Here is a 21,403-nt window from a genome sequence, read left to right as displayed (position 1 = left end):
TCACTATTTTATTTTTATATTAAGGTTTATTTTGTTATAGAAATCGCTACTGTACAAAATTCAGGTATCCCAAAATATCAGAAAAATAGGAGTCACTTTCTTAGAATACACTTTTAAAGGGAGTGATTATCTCATTTTGTATCTTTTTAAAAAATACAGTTGAGAAACCAGTGAGTCTCATTGTGTATTTACCTACACAAATAATCACTAAACCTAAGTATCTCAGGTTTTCTTAGATGAAAATCTCCTTTTATGAATATAAGTAGGGCAATATGAAACTAAAACTAAGTATAGATAAATGCCACCCCACAGTGATGAATCTCATTAAAGCTTTATGTTCTCCATGTTGAAATTAATTCCAAGTAAGGCAGAAAGATTCACGTATTTTTGCTGATCAGGACAAGAAAACAATGTTTACCCAAGTGCAGTCTTTTGTCTCCTGCATCTCATTATACCCACCAAATTGGCCAAAAAAAGAATTAAATTGAATTTTGCAGGTTAAGTAAAAATGTGTCAAAGGTTAGTCTAACTAGCTTTTAAAAAGCCATATTTGTAGTTACCTACAAGCAGGTATACCATAGAGTGTATTGAAATCTCTCTGATACTATGTGATCATGATTTTGCTCATAATTTCCATGCATTCATTTGTTAGAGAAGCCCACTGCACACTTCTAAGAGACTGATACAGTGTGATCTGGTATAACTGTGTCTGTTGATACTATGATGTAAAGTTCAATTAGAAAAGAAGGAAGGAATGAAGAAATAAAGGAAGAAAGGATAAAACCTTATAAAACTAGATATAGAACAAAAAGGCAAAATAAAAAAAGATTTTGTAGGAACTCTATCAGTTACATTAGTAACATGAAAAGCAGGGTGAATGGAGAGGAGAGAAAACGTTTGCATGCAGAGTACCGTACTTCTGACAAATATTCTGAATTAAATTTGTACTGAGCACATGCAATTCCACATTTTTAAACATCATTCTTGAAGATGGCCAAATAGGAACAGCTCCAGTCTACAGCTCCCAGCGTGAGCAATGCAGAAGACAGGTGATGTCTGAATTTCCAAATGAGGTACCGGGTTCATCTCACTGGGGCTTGTTGTGAGCCAAAGCAGGGCGAGGCATTGCCTCACCTGGGAAGCACAAGGGGTCAGTGAATTCCCCTTCCCAGCCAAGCAAATCTGTGACAGACAGCACCTGGAAAATCGGTTCACTCCCATCCTAATACTGCACTTTTCCAATGGTCTTAGCAAATGGCACACCAGGAGATTATATCCTGCGCATGGCTCGGAGGGTCTCACGCCCCACCCACGGAGCCTCACTCATTGCTAGCACAGCAGTCTGAGATCCAACTATAAGGTGGCAGCGAGACTGGGGGAGGGGTGCCCGCCATTGCTGAGGCTTGAGTAGGTAAACAAAGCTGCAGCTGGGAAGCTTGAACTGGGTGGAGCCCACCACAGCTCAAGGAGGCCTGCCTGCCTCTGTAGACTCCACCTCTGGGGGAAGGGCATAGCCGAACAAAAGGCAGCAGAAACCTCTGCAGACTTGAATGTCCCTGTCTGACAGCTTTGAAGAGACTAGTGGTTCTCCCAGTACAGAGTTTGAGATCTGAGAACGGTCAGACTGCCTCCTCAAGTGGGTCCCTGACCCCCGAGTAGCCTATCTGGGAGGCATCCCCCAGTAGGGGCAGACTGACACCTCACACGGCTGAGTACCCCTCTGAGACAAAACCTCCAGAGGAACCATCAGACAGCAACATCTGCTATTCAGCAATATCCGCTGTTCTGCAGCCTCCAATGCTGATACCCAGGCCAAAAGGGTCTGGAGTGGACCTCCAGCAAACTCCAACAGACCTGCAGCTGAGGGTCCTGACTGTTAAAACGATAACTAACAAACAGAAAGGACATCCACACCAAAACCCCATCTGTATGTCACCATCATCAAAGACCAAAGGTAGATAAAACCACAAAGATGGGGAAAAAACAGAACAGAAAAACGGAAAATTCTAAAAATCAGAGAACCTCTCCTCCTCCAAAGGAACGCAGCTCCTCACCAGCAATGGAACAAAGCTGGACGGAGAATGACTTTGACAAGTTGAGAGAAGAAGGCTTCAGACGATCAAACTTCTCCGAGCTAAAGGAGGAAGTTCAAACCCATTGTAAAGAAGTTAAAAACCTTGAAAAAAGATTAGATGAATGGCTAACTAGAATAACCAATGCAGAGAAGTCCTTAAAGGACCTGATGGAGCTGAAAACCATGGCACGAGAACTACGTGACGAATGCACAAGCTTCAGTAGCCAATTCGATCAACTGGAAGAAAGGGTATCAGTGATGGAAGACCAAATGAATGAAATGAAGCAAGAAGTTTAGAGAAAAAAGCATAAAAAGAAATGAACAAAGCCTCCAAGAAATATGGGACTATGTGAAAAGACCAAATCTACATCTGGTTGGTATACCTGAAAGTGATGGGGAGAATGGAACCAAGTTGGAAAACACTCTTCAGGATATTATCCAGGAGAACTTCCCCAACCTAGCAAGGCAGGCCAACATTCAAATTCAGGAAATACAGAGAATGCCACAAAGATACTCCTCAAGAAGAGCAACTCCAAGATACATAATTGTCAGATTCACCAAAGTTGAAATGAAGGAAAAAATATTAAGGGCAGCCAGAGAGAAAGGTCAGGTTACCCACAAAGGGAAGCCCATCAGACTAACAGCGGATCTCTCTGCAGAAACTCTACAAGCCAGAAGAGAGTGGGGGCCAATATTCAACATTCTTAAAGAAAAGAATTTTCGACCCAGAATTTCATATCCAGCCAAACTAAGCTTCATAAGTGAAGGGGAAATAAAATCCTTTACAGACAAGCTAATGCTGACAGATTTTGTCACCACCAGGCCTGCCCTACAAGAGCTCCTGAAGGAAGCACTAAACATGGAAAGGGACAACTGTTACCAGCCATTGCAAAAACATGACAAATTGTAAAGACCATTGATGCTAGGAAGAAACAGCATCAACTAACGAACAAAATAACCAGCTAACATCACAATGACAGGATCAAATTCACACATAACAGTATTAACCTTAAATGTAAATGGGCTAAATACTCCAATTAAAAGACACAGACTGGCAAATTGGATAAAGAGTCAAGACCCACCAGTGTACTGTATTCAGGAAACCCATCTCACGTGCAGAGACACACATAGGCTCAAAATAAAGGGACGGAGGAAGATCTACCAAGCAAATGGAAAACAAAAAAAGGCAGGGGTTGCAATCCTAGTCTCTGATAAAACAGACTTTAAACCAACAAAGATCAAAAGAGACAAAGAAGGCCATTACATAATGGTAAAGGTATCGATTTAACAAGAAGTGCTAACTATCCTAAATATATATGCACCCAATACAGGAGCCCCCAGATACATAAAGCAAGCCCTTAGAGACCTACAAAGAGACTTAGACTCCCACACAATAATAATGGGAGACTTTCATACCCCACTGTCAACATTAGACAGATCAATGAGACAGAAAGTTAACAAGGATATCCAGGAATTGAATTCAGCTCTGCAACAAGTGGACCTAATAGACATCTACAGAACTCTCCACCCCAAATCAACAGAATATACCTTCTTCTCAGCACCACACCACACCTATTCCAAAATTGACCACATAGTTGGAAGTAAAGCACTCCTCAGCAAATGTAAAAGAACAGAAATTATAACAAACTGTCTCTCAGACCACAGTGCAATCAAACTAGAACTCAGGATTAAGAAACTCACTCAAAACCGCTCAACTACATGGAAACTGAACAACCTGCTCCTGAATGACTACTGGGTACATAAAGAAAAGAAGGTAGAAATAAAGATGTTTTTTGAAACCAACGAGAACAAAGACAAAACATACCAGAATCTCTGGAACACATATAAAGCAGTGTGTAGAGGGAAATTTATAGCACTAAATGCCCACAAGAGAAAGCAGGAAAGATCTAAAATTGACACCCTAACATCACAATTAAAAGAACTAGAGAAACAAGAGCAAACACATTCAAAAGCTAGCAGAAGGCAAGAAATAACTAAGATCAGAGCAGAACTGAAGGAGACAGAGACACAAAAAACCCTTCAAAAAATCAACGAATCCAGGATCTGGTTTTTTGAAAAGATCAACAAAATTGATAGACCGCTAGCAAGACTAATAAAGAAGAAAAGAGAGAAGAATCAAATAGACGCAATAAAAAATGATAAAGGGGTTATAACCACCAATCCCACAGAAATACAAATTACCATCAGAGAATACTATAAACATCTCTATGCAAATAAACTAGAAAATCTAGAAGAAATGGATAAATTCCTCAACACATACACCCTCCCAAGACTAAACCAGGAAGAAGCTGAATCTCTGAATAGACCAGTAACAGGCTCTGAAATTGAGGCAATAATTAATAGCTTACCAACCAAAAAAAGTCCAGGACCGGATGGATTCACAGCTGAATACTACCAGAGGTACAAGGAGGAGCTGGTACCATTCCTTCTGAAACTATTCCAATCAATAGAAAAAGAGGGAATCCTCCCTAACTCATTTTATGAGGCCAGCATCATCCTGATGCCAAAGCCTGGCAGAGACACAACAAAAAAAAGAGAATTTTAGACCAATATCCCTGATGAACATCGATGCAAAAATCCTCAATAAAATACTGGCAAACCAAATCCAGCAGCACATCAAAAAGCTTATCCACCATGATCAAATTGGCTTCATCCCTGGGATGCAAGGCTGGTTCAACATACGCAAATCAATAAACATAATCCAGCATATAAACAGAACCAAAGACAAAAACCACATGATTATCTAAATAGATGCAGAAAAGGCCTTTGACAAAATTCAACAGCCCTTCATGCTAAAAACTCTCAATAAATTAGGTATTGATGGGACATATCTAAAAATAATAAGAGCTATTTATGACAAACCCACAGCCAATATCATACTGAATGGGCAAAAACTGGAAGCATTCCCTTTGAAAACTGGCACAAGACAGGGATGCCCTCTCTCACCACTCCTTTTCAACATAGTGTTGGAAGTTCTGGCCAGGGCAATTAGGCAGGAGAAGGAAATAAAGGGTATTCAATTAGGAAAAGAGGAAGTCAAATTGTCGCTGTTTGCGGATGACATGATTGTATATCTAGAAAACCCCATCGTCTCAGCCCCAAATCTCATTAAGCTGATAAGCAACTTCAGCAAAGTCTCAGGATACAAAATCATTGTGCAAAAATCACAAGCATTCTTATACATCAATAACAGACAAACAGAGAGCCAAATCATGAGTGAACTCCCATTCACAATTGCTTCAAAGAGAATAAAATACCTAGGAATCCATCTTACAAGGGATGTGAAGGACCTCTTCAAGGAGAACTACAAATCACTGCTCAATGAAATAAAAGAGGACACAAACAAATGGAAGAACATTCCATGCTCATGGATAGGAAGAATCAATATCGTGAAAATGGCCATACTGCCCAAAGTAATTTATAGATTCAATGCCATCCCCATCAAGCTACCAATGACTTTCTTCACAGAATTGGAAAAAAACTACTTTAAAGTTCATATGGAACCAAAAAAGAGCCCGCATCGCCAAGTCAATCCTAAGCCAAAAGAACAAAGCTGGAGGCATCACACTACCTGACTTCACACTATACCACAAGGCTACAGTAACCAAAACAGCATGGTACTGGTACCAAAACAGAGATGTAGACCAATGGAACAGAACAGAGGCCTCAGAAATAATACCACACATCTACAACCATCTGATCTTTGACAAACCTGACAAAAACAAGAAATGGGGAAAGGATTCCCTATTTAACAAATGGTGCTAGGAAAACTGGCTAGCCATAGGTAGAAAGCTGAAACTGGATCCCTTCCTTATACCTTGTACAAAAATTAATTCAAGATGAATTAAAGACTTAAACGTTAGACCTAAAACCATAAAAACCCTAGAAGAAAACCTAGGCAATACCATTCAGGACATAGGCATGGGCAAGGACTTCATGTCTAAAACACCAAAAGCAATGGCAACAAAAGCCAAAATTGACAAATGGGATCTAATTAAACTAAAGAGCTTCTGCACAGCAAAAGAAACTACCATCAGAGTGAACAGGCAACCTACAGAATGGGAGAAAATTTTTGCAATCTACTCATCTGACAAAGGGCTAATATCCAGAATCTATAAAGAACTCAAACAAATTTACAAGAAAAAAAAAACAACCCCATCAAAAAGTGGGTGAAGGATATGAAAGGACACTTCTCAAAAGAAGACATTTATGCAGCCAACAGACACATGAAAAAATGCTCATCATCACTGGCCATCAGGGAAATGCAAATCAAAACCACAATGAGATATCATCTCACACCAGTTAGAATAGCAATCATTAAAAGTCAGGAAACAACAGATGCTGGAGAGGATGTGGAGAAATAGGAATGTTTTTACACTGTTGGTGGGACTGTAAACTAGTTTAACCATTGTGGAAGACAGTGTGGCGATTCCTCAGGGATCTAGAGCTAGAAATACCATTTGACCCAGCCATCCTATTACTGGGTATATACCCAAAGGACTGTAAATCATGCTGCTATAAAGACACATGCACACGTATGTTTATTGCAGCACTACTCACAATAGCAAAGACTTGGAACCAACCCAAATGTCCAACAGTGATAGACTGGATTAAGAAAATATGGCACATATACACCATGGAATACTATGCAGCCATAAAAATGATGAGTTCATGTTCTTTGTAGGGACATGGATGAAGCTAGAAACCATCATTCTCAGCAAACTATCGCAAGGACAAAAAACCAAACACTGCATGTTCTCACTCATAGGTGGGAATTGAACAATGAGAACACATGGACACAGGAAGGGGAACATCACACACTGGGGCCTGTTGTGGGGTGGAGGGAGTGGGGAGGGATAGCATTAGGAGATATACCTAATGTTAAATGAAGAGTTAATGGGTGCAGCACACCAATATGGCACATGTATACATATGTAACAAACCTGCACATTGTGCACATGTACCCTAGAACTTAAAGTGTAATAAAAAATATATATATAAATAATTCTTCTCTAATATGCATTAAACCCCAATCATAAATCTTGTTTTCATAAAAAATTTGTATACAAATGTAGCAGTTATTTGGACACAATTTCATTGACAAATTCTTAGCATGAAAATCAGATTCTTAATATTTTGTTGTTGTTGTTTGTAATGTATATCTTGTTTCCCTAAGGAAAAAAATATTTGTGTGCAAAATATGGGTGGTTGCTTTGTTAGACAAAGAGATACTTTTACTGGAAATCATAAAAAGACAGAAGCATCTAATTCTGGGAAAGAATGCTCAGGTCTTGCCCTTTAGTGGTGCATTTCTACCTTAACTGGTGGCCTTGCATATGACATATGCCTTAGGAGCCACCTGAGGGTTACTGAGAGCTTGACTTAGCATTTTCATCTGACTCTGGGGAGATGAGTACCTTTAAAAAAAAAAAAAGAAGAAGAAGAAGATAGAAGATAGAAGATAAATCATTTAATTTGGTTTCAATAAATTGCCATGCTACTTTGGGGTTAAAAAAAGGGATCCCATATCCTACATCAGAGGTTTTTAAACTTTTTGTTCTGAAGACCTCCAAGAGCTTTTGTTTATGTTTATTATACCTATCAATATTTACCCTATTAGAAATGAAAACTTATAAACTTTAAAAATATTTATTTATAAATTCACTGGAGATAAAACCCAAAGCTACTTGGCAAGCTAATGGAAAGCTAAAGCTATTGATAGGTGTACTTGTCCTTGTGTCTCTGTGATAGAGCAAGTTTGTACCCCAGACACCTTCCACCTGTCTGTTTAGGCCCCTTCCTCAAACCCTATTCTCACTCCACAACCACACCACCAGTTTGGAAGGCTGGTGTAGCAGAAACAAGACATATGGACATTGTATAACCCAGCATTCAGGTGGTGGAGTTCCTTTTATTCCACTTGCATACTATTCTAAGTGCATTAACCTACCCCACCTTTCCTCCCTTGATTCTCATTATACGTTTAAAATTGACTTAATAAAGCACGTGATTGGAGCATCTTAAAAGAATTGGTCTATAAATTCATTTATGTGACAATGATAAACCCATTACATGTGACATAAATAAAATAATATATTTTTAATAAAATAGAAATATTTTCCAAAACAAAATTTTGGTGATAAGCATGGTTTTACATTTTTTGGAAATCCCCTAATATCTGGCTTAATGGAAGATAGCCAGATTTACCTATCTGCTTCTGCATTTAATCTATTGGAATATGTTTTGGTTGACAAATATGAAGAAACTCCAGGCTCACATAGACTTGTAGTTTGAAATAGTAGAGTCTTTTCATAGCCTTTCAGATTATTATGGACAGTTTTCTTTGATACAACAGTGAAATTCAACAAGTGATTGTTCCTTAAAAATGGAATGTGGAATCTGAAACATATCAATGAACTTCATATAATCTATTACAGTAAACTCAATTATTTGTCTCATACTTGGTATAGTTTTTAAAAAAATCTATATATGATTTTATGACAAAATAGTCTAGCTCACTTAGTAAAGCAGATCTTCCAAATGTTTACGTATTATTTTTGATAACAAAAAATTACTTTTGTTAATGTCACCACGAGTCTCATCAAGAAAGGTATTGAGAAGCTGTCAAGTTTATAGTGGCAGATGTAGGCTTTTCAAAATTCTAATTTCTACTTGAAAGTTTGAATTTTATCATTGTCAGAAATTCCTGTCAGTTGTTTTTTCTGGTGACAAGCTTATTTCATTCAATTTCAAAAAACATTTGCCAAATACCCCTGCTGAAATAATCATAGTTTGTCTGCCCATTGTTCTTTCAAAAAAAAAATGTTCTATGAAAGAAATGACTAGTACCACTTGTACCTTGAACAATAATACTTGGAGACAACTACCGCACCTCAACATATTTCAAAAGTGCTTTATGTGTACTTCCCATTTCCTTGCACTATTAAAAGGATGTGGCTAGGCACGGTGGCTCATGCCTCTAATCCCAACACTTTGGGAGGCCAAGGCAGGAGAATCGCTTGAGCCTGGGAGTTCAAGACAAGTCTGGGCATAGCAAGACATATCAAGACCTTGTCTCTACAAAAAAAGAAAAAATTAGCCAGGCGTGGTGGCATGCACCTGTATGTAGTCCCAGAAACTTAGGAGACTGAGGTAGGAGGATCACTTGAGCCCACGGGGTCAAGGCTGCAGTGAGCCACGATCATGCCAATGAACTCCAGCTTGGATGACAGAGTGAGACCCTATCTCAAAAAAATAAAAAGTAAAAATAAATAAATAAAATAACGTCATTTACACTCCCAAGACTTAATAACATGCTTTTGCTGTTGCTTGCTTTGTTTTTCACTGGAAGTACATGGGAGTGAAGAAATATTACTACCAGTAGAGCTTGGTGCCACTGCCTTCAACCCCTAGTAATAGATTCCAGCAGTTTTACTTACCATTACTTTTGCACATCTGTGTGACTGTCCCATAGTGAAAAAGGCAAATAATATGATAGAGTTGTTATTAAAATAGTTTTAACCTCAAGAATCTCATGAAAGTGTCTTCATTTTGAGAACCGTTGTCCTAAAAGGAAGGGCATATATTAAGGTTGTTGAGACAAATCTCTGAGGTTGAATAACACAGTTGTTCCTCAGGGTTAAAGGAGATCACTTAGCACAGTGCCTGACACAACTGTCAACTCAACAGATGTTAGCTATGATTACTAATATTTATATTATCATTTCTTTTTCAGATCAAGAAGCAATGATATGAGTAAATCAGAATATCAGCTGTGTGTTGGAATTTATCCTACCTAAATCCAAATTTTAGTTCTGCAATTCTTCTGTGAGTATAAGTTACATGCAGATATGTTTTTCCTGCTATTTTAAGTGAGACTGAGATTTTTGTCCCTCACATGTCAATTTTGTAAATCCTTGGGTAATCAGTCATGAGAGACATTTCTCAGTCATTAGTTAGTGGGGACAACTGAGAGAAGGTATTTGACTGGGTCCCAGGATCGCCCAGTCCCTTATCTTCTTCCTGCCATATCATGTTTGGGAAGCAGGTATTTCCAAAGGGTTATGCAAAGCTCATAGGGACATCTAGCTGATGTAAATGATGGAAATAGGTAAGTGTAAGTCAAGGAGACCAGTCACATTGTGCCTGCATATTTTACTCTTATGAATATTTTTTACTGCCTCCAAGAAATATGTTCTCTCTCATTTTCCTTGAAATTACAAGAGGCTTGCTTGCTATGTTATTCTTTTTACCATCTTTGACCTGAGTACAAAAAAAAAAAAAACAACAACCGGTTCTTAACAACAAAATGATGCAAGCTTGATAATAAGTAACAGCTTACATTTAATCTCGGTGTTAGAAAAATAGAGAGTGATAGTGATGGAGTTGAAATGAAGAGTTTGTGCCTTGTTTATAGAGAGAAGCTCCCTCTGACTGCCACACAGAGGCGCAGACATACAGTGTGGCCACATCTTTCTATTTTCAAGCTCAGGGTGGAAATCCAGATATTTATGTGAAATTTTCCAATTTATAAATGTTGCCCCAAACTGGGTAGGCCACATAAAACATGTTGGCAGGGTTTGAAAGCTGCCACATTTTTGATTTCTCCAAATATATAACTTAATTTCCCTCCATGATCTCACTGACCATTATCCTCTGCACTTAACTCTGTCACCTCTCCTATCTTGGGGCAAAGAGGGTGGGAACAGTGGATGGAGAGGCGCCTTTATCTCCCTCTAGTGGTGAAAATATGCCAAAACAACTAGCTGAATGTTCATTCATCCTGTTTATTGAAAACTCATCTATGCGAAACTCATCCTTTGTCTGATTAAAATTAGCAAAACAGACTCTGGCTGTTATGTGTGAGATGTGAACTGAAAGGAAATTTTACTACCAGTGCAGATTAGACTCTGGGGTAAAAGAAGCCAGAAAGAGGGAGCAGGGATATCAGCCCAAGTAGGAATTTAGAAGATTCAAGAGTTTCAGACCTCATCACCAGGAAAAGAGAAGAATCTAAAAACTTGTACTCTAACAGAAGGCAGGGCCATCAATACATACTGCAGCTGGAAGGCATACACTAAGTTTTATGGGCAAAGTTGAGTATAGTGTGAATGATCAACGTATCCACTAGCTAGAGCAGTGTCTAGTAAGTACTGCTAATTTGATCCCTGTTTTAAGTATTTAATAGTACCTTAGCTCTTATTAATTAATGGAGAGCATCTCATATTCTTTGTTTAGAAGCTCCACTTGGGGAAAATGTTTTCAGGGTGGAGAATGGAATACATTTTGCAAATAAACAGAATTTCAAATAGGTTAGTAATACAGAGCTAATAAATGATACTGAGAAAGATAAAAAATAGATATCATAATAGTTGTTGACAAAAGAGTCAAACTCTGAAAAATATTTGAAAAGATAAATTTTGAGCCAAATATGAGTGGGCAATGGTCAGTGACACAGCCCTGTCTCCTGAGAACATGTGCCCAAAGTAGTCAGGCTTCAGCTTAGTTTTATACATTTTAGGGAGACAAAAGACATCAATCAATACATGTAAGATGTACACTGGTTGGGTCAGGAAAGGTGGCACAACTCAAAGCGGGGGTGGGGAGCTTCAAGGTCATAGGTAGATTCAAACAATTTCTAATTGGCAATTGGTTGGAAGACTTAAGTTATTGTCTAAAGACCTGGAATCAACAGAAGGGAATGTCTGGGCTAAGATAAGGGGTTTTGGAGACCAAGGTTCTTATTATGCAGATGAAGTCTCCAAGTAACAGGCTTCAGAGAGATTAGATTGTAAATGTTTCTTATTAGACTTAAAAAGGTGCCAGACTCTTAGTCGATTCTCTCCTGGATCAGGAAAAAGACCTGGAAAGGGAAGGGGATTCTCTACAGAATGCAGATTTTCCCCACAAGCAATAGCTTTGCAGGGCTATTTCAAAATATGTCAAAGAAATATAATTTAGAGTAAAATACTTTGATATCTTTCAGGGCCTGCTGTCTGTCAGGTGATGCTATACTAGATCAGGCTGGAATTTGGTGACCTATTGCTACAAAAAGTCTTAAGATCTCTGTTTTAATGTTAATGCTGCTCAGTTGTGCCTGAATTCCAAAGGGAGGATGTCTGACCCCCCACTTCCTCTCACGGCCTGAACTAGTTTTCCAGGTTAACTGGAATGCTCTTGGCTGAGAGGAGGGGTCCATTCCGATGGTTGGGGGGCTTAGAATTTTATTTTCAGTTTACACAGCTTTGCTTCATTTGGATGCCCATGGTGTCTTAGAACACTGTCCCCAAGTATTATATGCCTGTAGCTCAAATGTCAACTTTCAAGGATGGTTCCCTCTCTTGTATACTCATTTCTTTGCCTTCTGCCCTCCTTGGTACACTCAGATAATTTAAAGAACTGAAATACAATTGCTTTTAAAAGCTCAATACTTCATTATACTTTTGTTTTGAAAACAGTTTTTGAGTTGAGAGTATGTCAGCAAAAGCAACCAAAAGAATGTGGATGTTGTTACAAGGTCAGCTTTTCAGCAGCCGTAGGCAGCCATTACTGGCATTCTGTCAAACAATCACCACTGGCAGCGGGGCCATTCATAGGCAATGAGTCAGCAGCTCTGACAGCACTAAATACGGTCACCGGTTAATGCGCAAGATAACAGGCTCACATGCTCCTTCAGAAAGGGCTGGTGAGAGGAAGTATTTTATTTTTCAAGTTTATTTAGAAGAAGATCAGAATAGGTTGTTAAAACCCAGATGTTAAATGAGTGTGTGTGTGTGTGTGTGTGTGTCTGTGTGTGTCTGTGTGTATGTGTACGTGTTAGAATCTAGAATGAAATATATATGGATTTCTTGTGTAAGGAAAAACATGTTCAAACTGAGAGCTGAAATATCAGAAGCTAGGCATTTCAAATGAGATACTGTTGTACAAAGAAGTGCCTGCCTTATACCTGGGCTGTACAGTCCAGTAGTCATTGGCTACATGTGGCTATTGAGCAGTTGAAATGCGGCTAGCCCAAATCAAGATGTGTTGGAAGTGTAAAATCTACACAGGATTTCAAGCATACAGTACAAAAAAGGAATAAAAGACCTCATTAATAACTTTTTATATTAGTTACATGTTGAAATGATAATAGTTTTGATATATTGGACTAAGTAAAATATATTTAGATTAATTTCACCTGTTTCTTTTTCCTTTTTTAATGTGGCTACTAGAAAATTTATAATTACATATGTGGCTTGCATCCTGTTTCTATTGGATAGTACTATTTTAAAGGAAGATATTTGCTATCATCTCCTTCCAGTCATAACACACACATGCGTGCACACACACACACACGTACAGTAAATGGATAGGAAGGCAGTAGGTGTTTTAAAAATGCAGGCTGCAAAATTCCACTTAAGGTGCTGATTTGAAAATCCCAGTTCTCTAAGCTAAAGAACAGTGCAACATACTCCATAGCACTGAAAGATATTCTACCCTGAATTGTCATTAGGCCTCAGCCGTGGTTACAGTGGAGAAAGAGTGTTAGCCATATTTATTTAATTCTGGCCATTTTATTAAGAAAGAAAGGGCACTGTCCAAGATGCTGAGAAATGACACTCTCATAAAAGAACAAAATGAGCACTGTAGAAATAAATTAGTGTTGTTCTCTGGACTTTTCTGTTCTGTTTTAGACTTGAATGCTCTTAACACTGCTTTGGTGGTGGTAATCAAGACAGTATTATAACATATTGGGCTTAAACTTTGACTTAATAAGGATTTTGATAAAGGCCACATTCAGTGGCTCAAGCCTGTAATCCCAGCACTTTGTAAACCAAGGGAGGTAGACTGTTTGAGATCAGGAGTTTGAGACCAGCTTGGGCAACATGACAAAACCCCATCTCTACAAAAATACAAAAAAATTAGCCAGATATGGTGGCACACTCCTGTTGTCTCAGCAACTCGGGAGGCTGAGGTATGAGAGTCACTTGAACCCGGGGGGCAGAGATTACAGTGAGCCAAGATCACGCCACTGCGCTCCAGCCTGGGTGATAGAGCCAGACCTTGTCTCAAAAGACAAACAAAGAAACAAAAGAATTTTTATAAAAGCAAAATTTGGATACTAATTTGGCTGTTTAAACAGCTACTGAAAGATTGTAATTTCTAGATTTGCCTGACTGTTTTTGTGCTTTGAGTCTGATTTGTCACTGCTAGTAAATTATCCCCCTAAATTCTGGCTAGTGTTGAGGGATTCCTAGTAGCCTTTCTCCTATATCCTGCTGCATACTCTCTCCTTTTTAGTTTCAGTGCTTGAATCAGTTTCATCAGTCAGCTTCTTTCATCTTTTTCTTAGCCAATATCTACTTAGAAGACTTTGGAGTTTTGGAGTCAAACAGATGCCAGTTTGAGACTCTGAAGTCAGCCAATTCTCCTGAAATTTCTCTTTCATCCATTTTAACTACTGACTTTAATTTTTATGAGCAAAGCTGGAAAGCAAGTAGCTGAGCAGAGGTTTCATTAATAGTGGCCAGGACTTCCTGAATGATTGTCCAAAGGTGTATTCTAGCAATACAAAGATGGCAGTGTGTGTGGCTCCTGAGCTAGTTGGAAGAAAGTGTGAAATTCTTCAGATTCTTTTTCATTCAGAGCTATGTGATGTCTCCCCTCCTTCCCAAATGCATAACCTAATTTCATCCCTCAAATTCAGAAACTGAAATTTGGATAGACTTCTATTGGAGAATGGCTCATGGTGTTCCCCTAAAATCTCTGTTTAGTAGTCTTCCTTGTCTAAATGGAGAGTGATGTATGAAAAATTTAGTGTATCCATTTAAAGTTATAAAAATATTTTAAAGAAAAATTAAATGGTTGGTATTCTAATGATTTTTAAGTATATTTTTGCTTTCTCATTAAAAAAGACATTGTGTTACAATATAAACATTTACATGATAAATAAAAATAGATTACTTTTACCACTCAAAGGAAATTGTTTCTTAACTCTTTCAGTTTGGACAATGAAAGCAAACTGACTGATTTATAACACATTTTGTTTTTTGACAAGTTTTTTTAAAAATTCAAATTCTTGACAAGTGTTGCTGAGCAATACCAAAAAAGTACCATATTTGGGAAATACACAAAAGCAAGAAAAGTTAAAGCAAGCTATGACAGGCTTTCAGTATTTTTAGAATGACAACCTTACATTATCTGATTCCAATGGACAGGAGAAATGGTAGGGGTTAAAAAGATGTTGATTAAGACTTTACAAATAGGACCAGGTGCAGTGGCTCATGCCTAGTCCTAGCACTTTGGGAGTCTGAGGTGGGTGGATTGTCTGAGCTCAGGATTTTGAGACCATCCTGGGCAACATGATGAAACCTTGTCTCTACTGAAAATATAAAAAATTAGCCATGCATAGTGGTGCACACCTGTAGTCCCAGGTACTCGGAAGGCTGAGGCATGAGAATTGCTTGAGCCTGGGAGGTGGAGGTTGCAGTGAGCCGAGATCATGCCACTGAACTGCATCCTGGGTGACAGAACAAGATGCTGTCTCAAAAAAACAAACAAACAAAAAAAGGCTATGCAAATATAAAAAGATTACGTAAAATAGACTATTGGACTATTAACATCATTTCACTAAATTTTTAGATAACGGCATTACTATGTTTTAAAAAAGCATTTCAACATCTAACAACTATAATTTTCTCTTCTCTTTGTTTCAGTTTTTATAATGAAGAAATTTTAAATAACGAATCCTGTATATTCTAAAAGTTTATGTGTTGTTAATAAAACTCTTTTGGAGAAACCTACAAAAGAAAAAACACACCATTGAAACTTGTGACATCTGTGAAATGTGGTTTAGGAAACCTGGCAGGGCTAGGAGAACTTCAATATGAAAGTAAAAAGCATTTGGGGACTGCTCCGTGACCTGGAAGTTCAGAAGGGAAGGGGTTAATGGTGACTGGCAGCTCATTTCAAGTCTTTTTAGCACCCTGTTCCCCTAAAGAGGAGAAGGAAAACGACACAATTGTCAGACATTTACCGTAAGAAGAACCCTTCTATTCTTCTAATTCCTAGCAAGACGTGCAGAAAATAAAATCCAAACTGTATAGCCAGTCTTCACTGACTTAACCAAGACGAATCACTTTCATGAGTGGCTTACTTCACCTCTTCTAGGATTGACATCTGTGCTTATGGTTTAGCAACACTAAAATTGGAAATAAAATTCATAACTGATACATGTCTAATTCAAGAGATAAAAGCAACTTATAACTATAACTTTATAAAAGGGTTCTATAAACTGCTAACATTTGATAATCATATAAACCATCCTGTAATGCAAACCACAGAATTACTATCAAGAACATAAAATATATTCACATAATTTGATTCATTCATCTGCAGCAAGAGAAGCAGTTGACAATAAAATATCACTCAGTGTGCACACGTGTGTGTAAACATGTGTTTATGTGTGTAAAGCCTCCCTTTTGTGCTCATTTAAAAGGGTAGAATGTGAAAGTTGACGAGTTAGAGAATAGGTAAAATGAAGACTTAATTTCTTTGTATATATGAACAATTAACTTCTTCCTCAAAGTCTGTCTATTCCATAGCAACGTTATGAGTCTCCTGGCAGGACTGGCCCATTCACACTCTAACAAAGTAAGAGTTTTATTGTGCTCAAATACAGTGAGTTATTTGGTTAAAACAATACTTGGGCAATCCAGCTCCCAGGAATATTACTGTCTTATTAATTATTAATAGTAAACCTAAACACTTATAGAAAAGAGGACACAATTTAACATGAGAAGTTACCCTTTGGATATTTTTAGAAATTAATATCCATATAATTTCTGTGATAAAAAGTGAAGACACATGAGTAAATTGAAAGATACAAGGGTAAAATGCACAATAGTCTGCTTATCTGAGAACTTTTCTTTTTCATTTAATAATAGCTAATACAGGTGAACATAATACTCAGAAATACCTGCTTAGTTTTGCCTTTAGCCACCATTTCCTTTACCAGATAAAGTTAAGCAAGTAGGATTCTTAGCATCTTTGAGCAGGCAAGTGGAGGTGGGAGGTGGGGGAGGAGGCCTTGGTGGGCTGGAATGGTCTGAGTTATGTTTGGGTGATGCTAATCTTCCCCTTACTCTAAAGTAACACCAATTATGTAAGAGAGAAGGAGGCAGTGAATATGTCCAATAACCGATTCAGAGAAGGGCTTGAGTAGGTAGGCAGAGTGTGGGAAGGTCACCTCTTGAACCTAGCAGTTTACTTACCTGTCTACTTAAACGGGGGTTTACATTTTTGCTGGATTTAATAATCGAATATCATATATTGCCTGCATATTATGGAGTTCTGAAAAACTACATGTGTTAGTAAAAGAATTTCTTAATATTATTATCCCTATTAAAAAAATTAGGCCGGGCACGGTGGTTCATGCCTGTAATCCCAACACTTTGGGAGGCCGAGGCAGGTGGATCACCTGAGGTCAGGCATTCAGGACCAGCTTGGCCAACATGGTGAAATCCCGTCTCTACGAAAAATACAAAAATAAGCTGGGTGTGGTGGCACACACCTGTAATCCCAGCTACTTGGGAGGCTGAGGCAGGAGAATCGCTTGAACCCAGGAGGCGGAGGTTGCAGTGAGCCAAGATTGCACCACTGCACTCCAGCCTGGGTGACAGAGCAAACTCTGTCTCAAAAAAAAAAAATTATTTACAGATTTTACAGTCCACTTTCTAAACACATACATAGTGGAACATAGATTATCCCACATGGAAGATAAGTTATAAAATCTGCATTTGGATTCAGAGGTATTTTTTTAGAATGTACCCATATGAGGTATGTTTTTAGAATGTTCCCAAGAGATTAACTTTCATATTTAACTTTGTTGCAGTTAGTATTAAAGGTACTGCGTGTGTTCTGAGTATACACTGGCAAGTACAGCATAGTGACCAACAGCATGGACTTACATCTGTGACTTATTTTCTCTAAAAGCGTTTCCTCATCTTTAATATAAAGGTAATAATAGAGCTTACTTAGAGAAATCTTGAGTTTTGATTTAGATAATGAATGTATTGTACCTAGTACACGACTGTCACTCAGTAACTGGTAACTGCTCGAGGATTATTAACTAAGGTAAGGCATGGGAAGTAACTACATTGAAATGGGGTCACAGGGACATTTGCAAAGTGCTGTTTCCAAGGTGAAAGTCTTCCTGCCAATTTGCAACAGCTCTATCACATCAGCTATTTGAGAATGTCACTAATCCAGCTGGAAGATGGTTGGCCAATAACAGGAGAAAAAATTGAGCAAGCTCACCAGGTGAATTACTGAGACCACCCAAGTCCTATAAATAAATCCACAGTTCCTTGAGGAGTCATCCCTGTCCCAAGCCTTCCTCTCATAGGAACACTCTGAATGTTGGCTTTAGTAAATTATCTGAAATGGCTGACAAGAAAAACTCATCAAAACCCTTTGGATAGATATAAGGAGGCTGAAGTGAGACAATGTATCTGAAGACATATACTGTATTGTGAGTCTCCAATTCAAAGCTGTTTGATATTGATATTTTAGCATGGATTCCTCAGTGGTATTTTTTGTTTTTATTGTTTATTTATTTTGAGATGGAGTCTCATTCTGTCACCCAAGCTGGAGTGCAGTGGCGCAGTCTTGGCTCACTGCAACCTCTGCCTCCTGGGTTCAAGCGATTCTCATGCCTCAGCCTCCAAGTAGCTGGGACTACAAGTGTGTGCCACCACACCCAGCTAATTTTTACATTTTTAGTAGAAATGGGGTTTCACCACGTTGACCAGGCTGGTCTCAAACTCCTGACCTCAAGTGATCCGCCCACCTCAGCCTCCCAAACTGCTGAGATTACAGGCATAAGCCACTGCACCTGACCCTCAGTGGTATTTTTAAAAAACTCTTTAGTGTTAAGTGTTTTTTTTTTCTTGTTCTTTCAATCACATAAATGATACATTGGAAAGAATCAAGCCTTAACTATAGTATTCACTATAGAGACAAGCAGAATTCAATTCTAGTAGTCACTATGAATCACAGAACCTGCTACAAATTAGATTGGTGTGCCTAGGAAATGCATAAGCAATCACTAAAAATATTAGCTATAAATCCAGGTAGAGGACTATAAAATTGAAATGCTAAAGGTGAGGCTGAATTTTATTTTTAGCAATCAACAGGTAGAAGCCTATTCGTTTTTTTCCCTTTTTTGATTTACCATGATTATAAGAATAAATAAAAAGCATGAGTAAATGCATAGTACGGAGCTGATAGCAGTGGTGATACAGTTTCAAGTATTTTAGATGTGTAATCTGTAAAAACATACTATTCACCCATCAGGTTTTTATGTAAATCTTGGAATCCTGCAGGAAATAGTGACATTTAAGAGAAATTATACTAGATTCAGATATGATCACTTTGAAACAAAGTCATTGTTCTGGCAATGTGGATCATTAGGAAGTACCAAAATAACGTCACCATTATCCAGGTTCAGAATATGTATCCACCCCTTTGGATATTTACTATGAACTTTGCAGCTCCTAGGTTAATGCAGGGTGATGGGCATTACCCGATGATAGATTGGATCCCTGGACTTGGCCACCTAGAACAGAAGTCTCATGGAGATTTCGGATTCACGTTAACTGCTTAGCTGTCATGCAGTACAAAAAGTGGCAGCAGACAGAAGAGAGGCACGTTTAGGATATTAGGACTTCAGAGAATGAAGAAAACTAGAAGAGATTATGTCAGTTGAAGCATCTGGGGACCTTCACAGAAGTGTCATTTAAACTAGTGCTGGAAAAGTAGCATGGCACCCTCTATATGTTGGTGCTTAATAAATTTTCATCAAAAGAATGAATGAAAAGACATTGGAAGGGTGATAGCTCACAATGTCTGGCATGTACCAGTTACTCAGTAAATGCTCCCTGAATTCTAAAATTTGAGGAAGAACATTCCAGTCAAGGAAATAAGCAAACACCTGGGCATGTAGGAACAGTGGGTGGGGTATGTGAGGAAAGTAATGGGAAGGGTGGATAGGGCCAAATTTCACAAAATCCAGCTAAGAAGGCTGAATGCTATTGGATGGATGAAGAGAACTCATTGATGAGTTCTGAGCTCATGCTGAATTTCTTTCAGTTCCTCAATAAAGAGTATTTTCTTTCACCTCCAAGTGTTACACATGCTATTCCTTCTGGTGATCTTTCCACTTTTGTCCTCCCTCCCCCGCCCTCTGTCTGGCTAACTCCTACTCACCTTCAGGTCTCAGTTTTCGTTGTTGCTGTTTTGTGGTTTCTTTTTTCTTTTCTTCTCTCCTTCCTTCCTACCTTCCTTCCTTCCTTCCTTTTTTCTTTTCTTTCTTTTGAGACAGGGTCGCAATCTGTCACCCACACTGTAGTGCAGTGGCATGATCATGCCTCACTGCAGCCTTGACCCCCCTGGCTCAAGTGATCCTGTCACCTCAGCCTCCTGAGTGCCTGGGACTATATATGTGTGGGCTACCATGCCCAGCTAATTTTTGTATTTTTTGCAGAGACAGGGTCTCTCTGTGTTCCTCAGGCTGGTCTCAAATTTCTGGGCTCAAGCAATCTTCCCACCTCGGCCTCCCAAAGTGCTGGGATTATAGGTATGAGTCACCATGCTCGGCCCAGGTCTGAGTTTTAACATCACTTCTTCCAGGAAACCACAGTGGTCCCTGTATTAGGTTAGCTTCCCCTTCTGTGTTCTCCCATTGATTCTGCACTTCTCATTGCATCGTAATGAAATTTTATTATTAGTTTTCCATTTTATGGTAGGCCCTATAAATGCAGAGACCTTGCCCTTCTGGCAGCTGTATTTCCAGTACATAGCTCAATGCCTGGAATATTAATTAAGTTAATTTGTTAAGTGAATGAAACAAACAAGATCAGAAATGAGTCTTAGCAATGTTGATCTGACTCAAGCATATCCTCTATTATTGAATGAGGAAAGCCTAGGATTTAAAAAATAAAAGTGGCTAGCATATGGGGTATGGCCATTAAAATATTATAAAATCAAAATCAAATAGTAATGACTATTAGCATTTATTGAGTGTTTACCATGTCAAGCACTGTGCTAATACTTTTCAAGTATTACCTTGTTTTATCCTCATAGTAATCTTACTAGGAAGGTATTGCTAATAAGTAAATGATATCATAAATGCAATTATACATTAACAAAATGTGGCCATTTTTACAAAAACATTGTGTCTACATCTTAAATACCACTTGTAATTCTAGTTGCCACAGCTCACAAGATATATATGAAGTGTCTAAGGAGAATAGGGAGGTAGCTGTATAA

At 38.4% G+C, this 21,403-nt stretch overlaps 1 protein-coding gene across 45 annotated transcripts in view, besides 2 other annotated features; it reads right to left on the bottom strand.

The window, feature by feature from the left end:
• The window catches only part of DTNA (dystrobrevin alpha), a 398,533-nt gene that overhangs the window by 219,330 nt on the left and 157,800 nt on the right, over positions 1 to 21,403 (bottom strand). The gene's annotated exons all lie outside the window — the stretch shown is intronic.
• Positions 12,115 to 12,618: an enhancer, noted in NCBI's record as "OCT4-NANOG-H3K27ac hESC enhancer chr18:32239861-32240364 (GRCh37/hg19 assembly coordinates)". NCBI's record gives its function as "activates a minimal SCP1, AML or CMV promoter by ChIP-STARR-seq in naive and primed H9 embryonic stem cells {active_cell/tissue: H9 hESC(naive and primed)}" and the evidence as "EXISTENCE:reporter gene assay evidence [ECO:0000049][PMID:30033119]".
• Positions 12,619 to 13,122: an enhancer, noted in NCBI's record as "OCT4-NANOG-H3K27ac hESC enhancer chr18:32239357-32239860 (GRCh37/hg19 assembly coordinates)". NCBI's record gives its function as "activates a minimal SCP1, AML or CMV promoter by ChIP-STARR-seq in naive and primed H9 embryonic stem cells {active_cell/tissue: H9 hESC(naive and primed)}" and the evidence as "EXISTENCE:reporter gene assay evidence [ECO:0000049][PMID:30033119]".

The sequence above is a fragment of the Homo sapiens genome, chromosome 18 (genome assembly GCF_000001405.40).
Source record: "Homo sapiens chromosome 18, GRCh38.p14 Primary Assembly".
NCBI classification, from domain to species: domain Eukaryota; kingdom Metazoa; phylum Chordata; class Mammalia; order Primates; family Hominidae; genus Homo; species Homo sapiens.
Note: the sequence above shows the minus strand (reverse complement) of the source record. Positions and strands in the feature narration are given on the sequence as shown.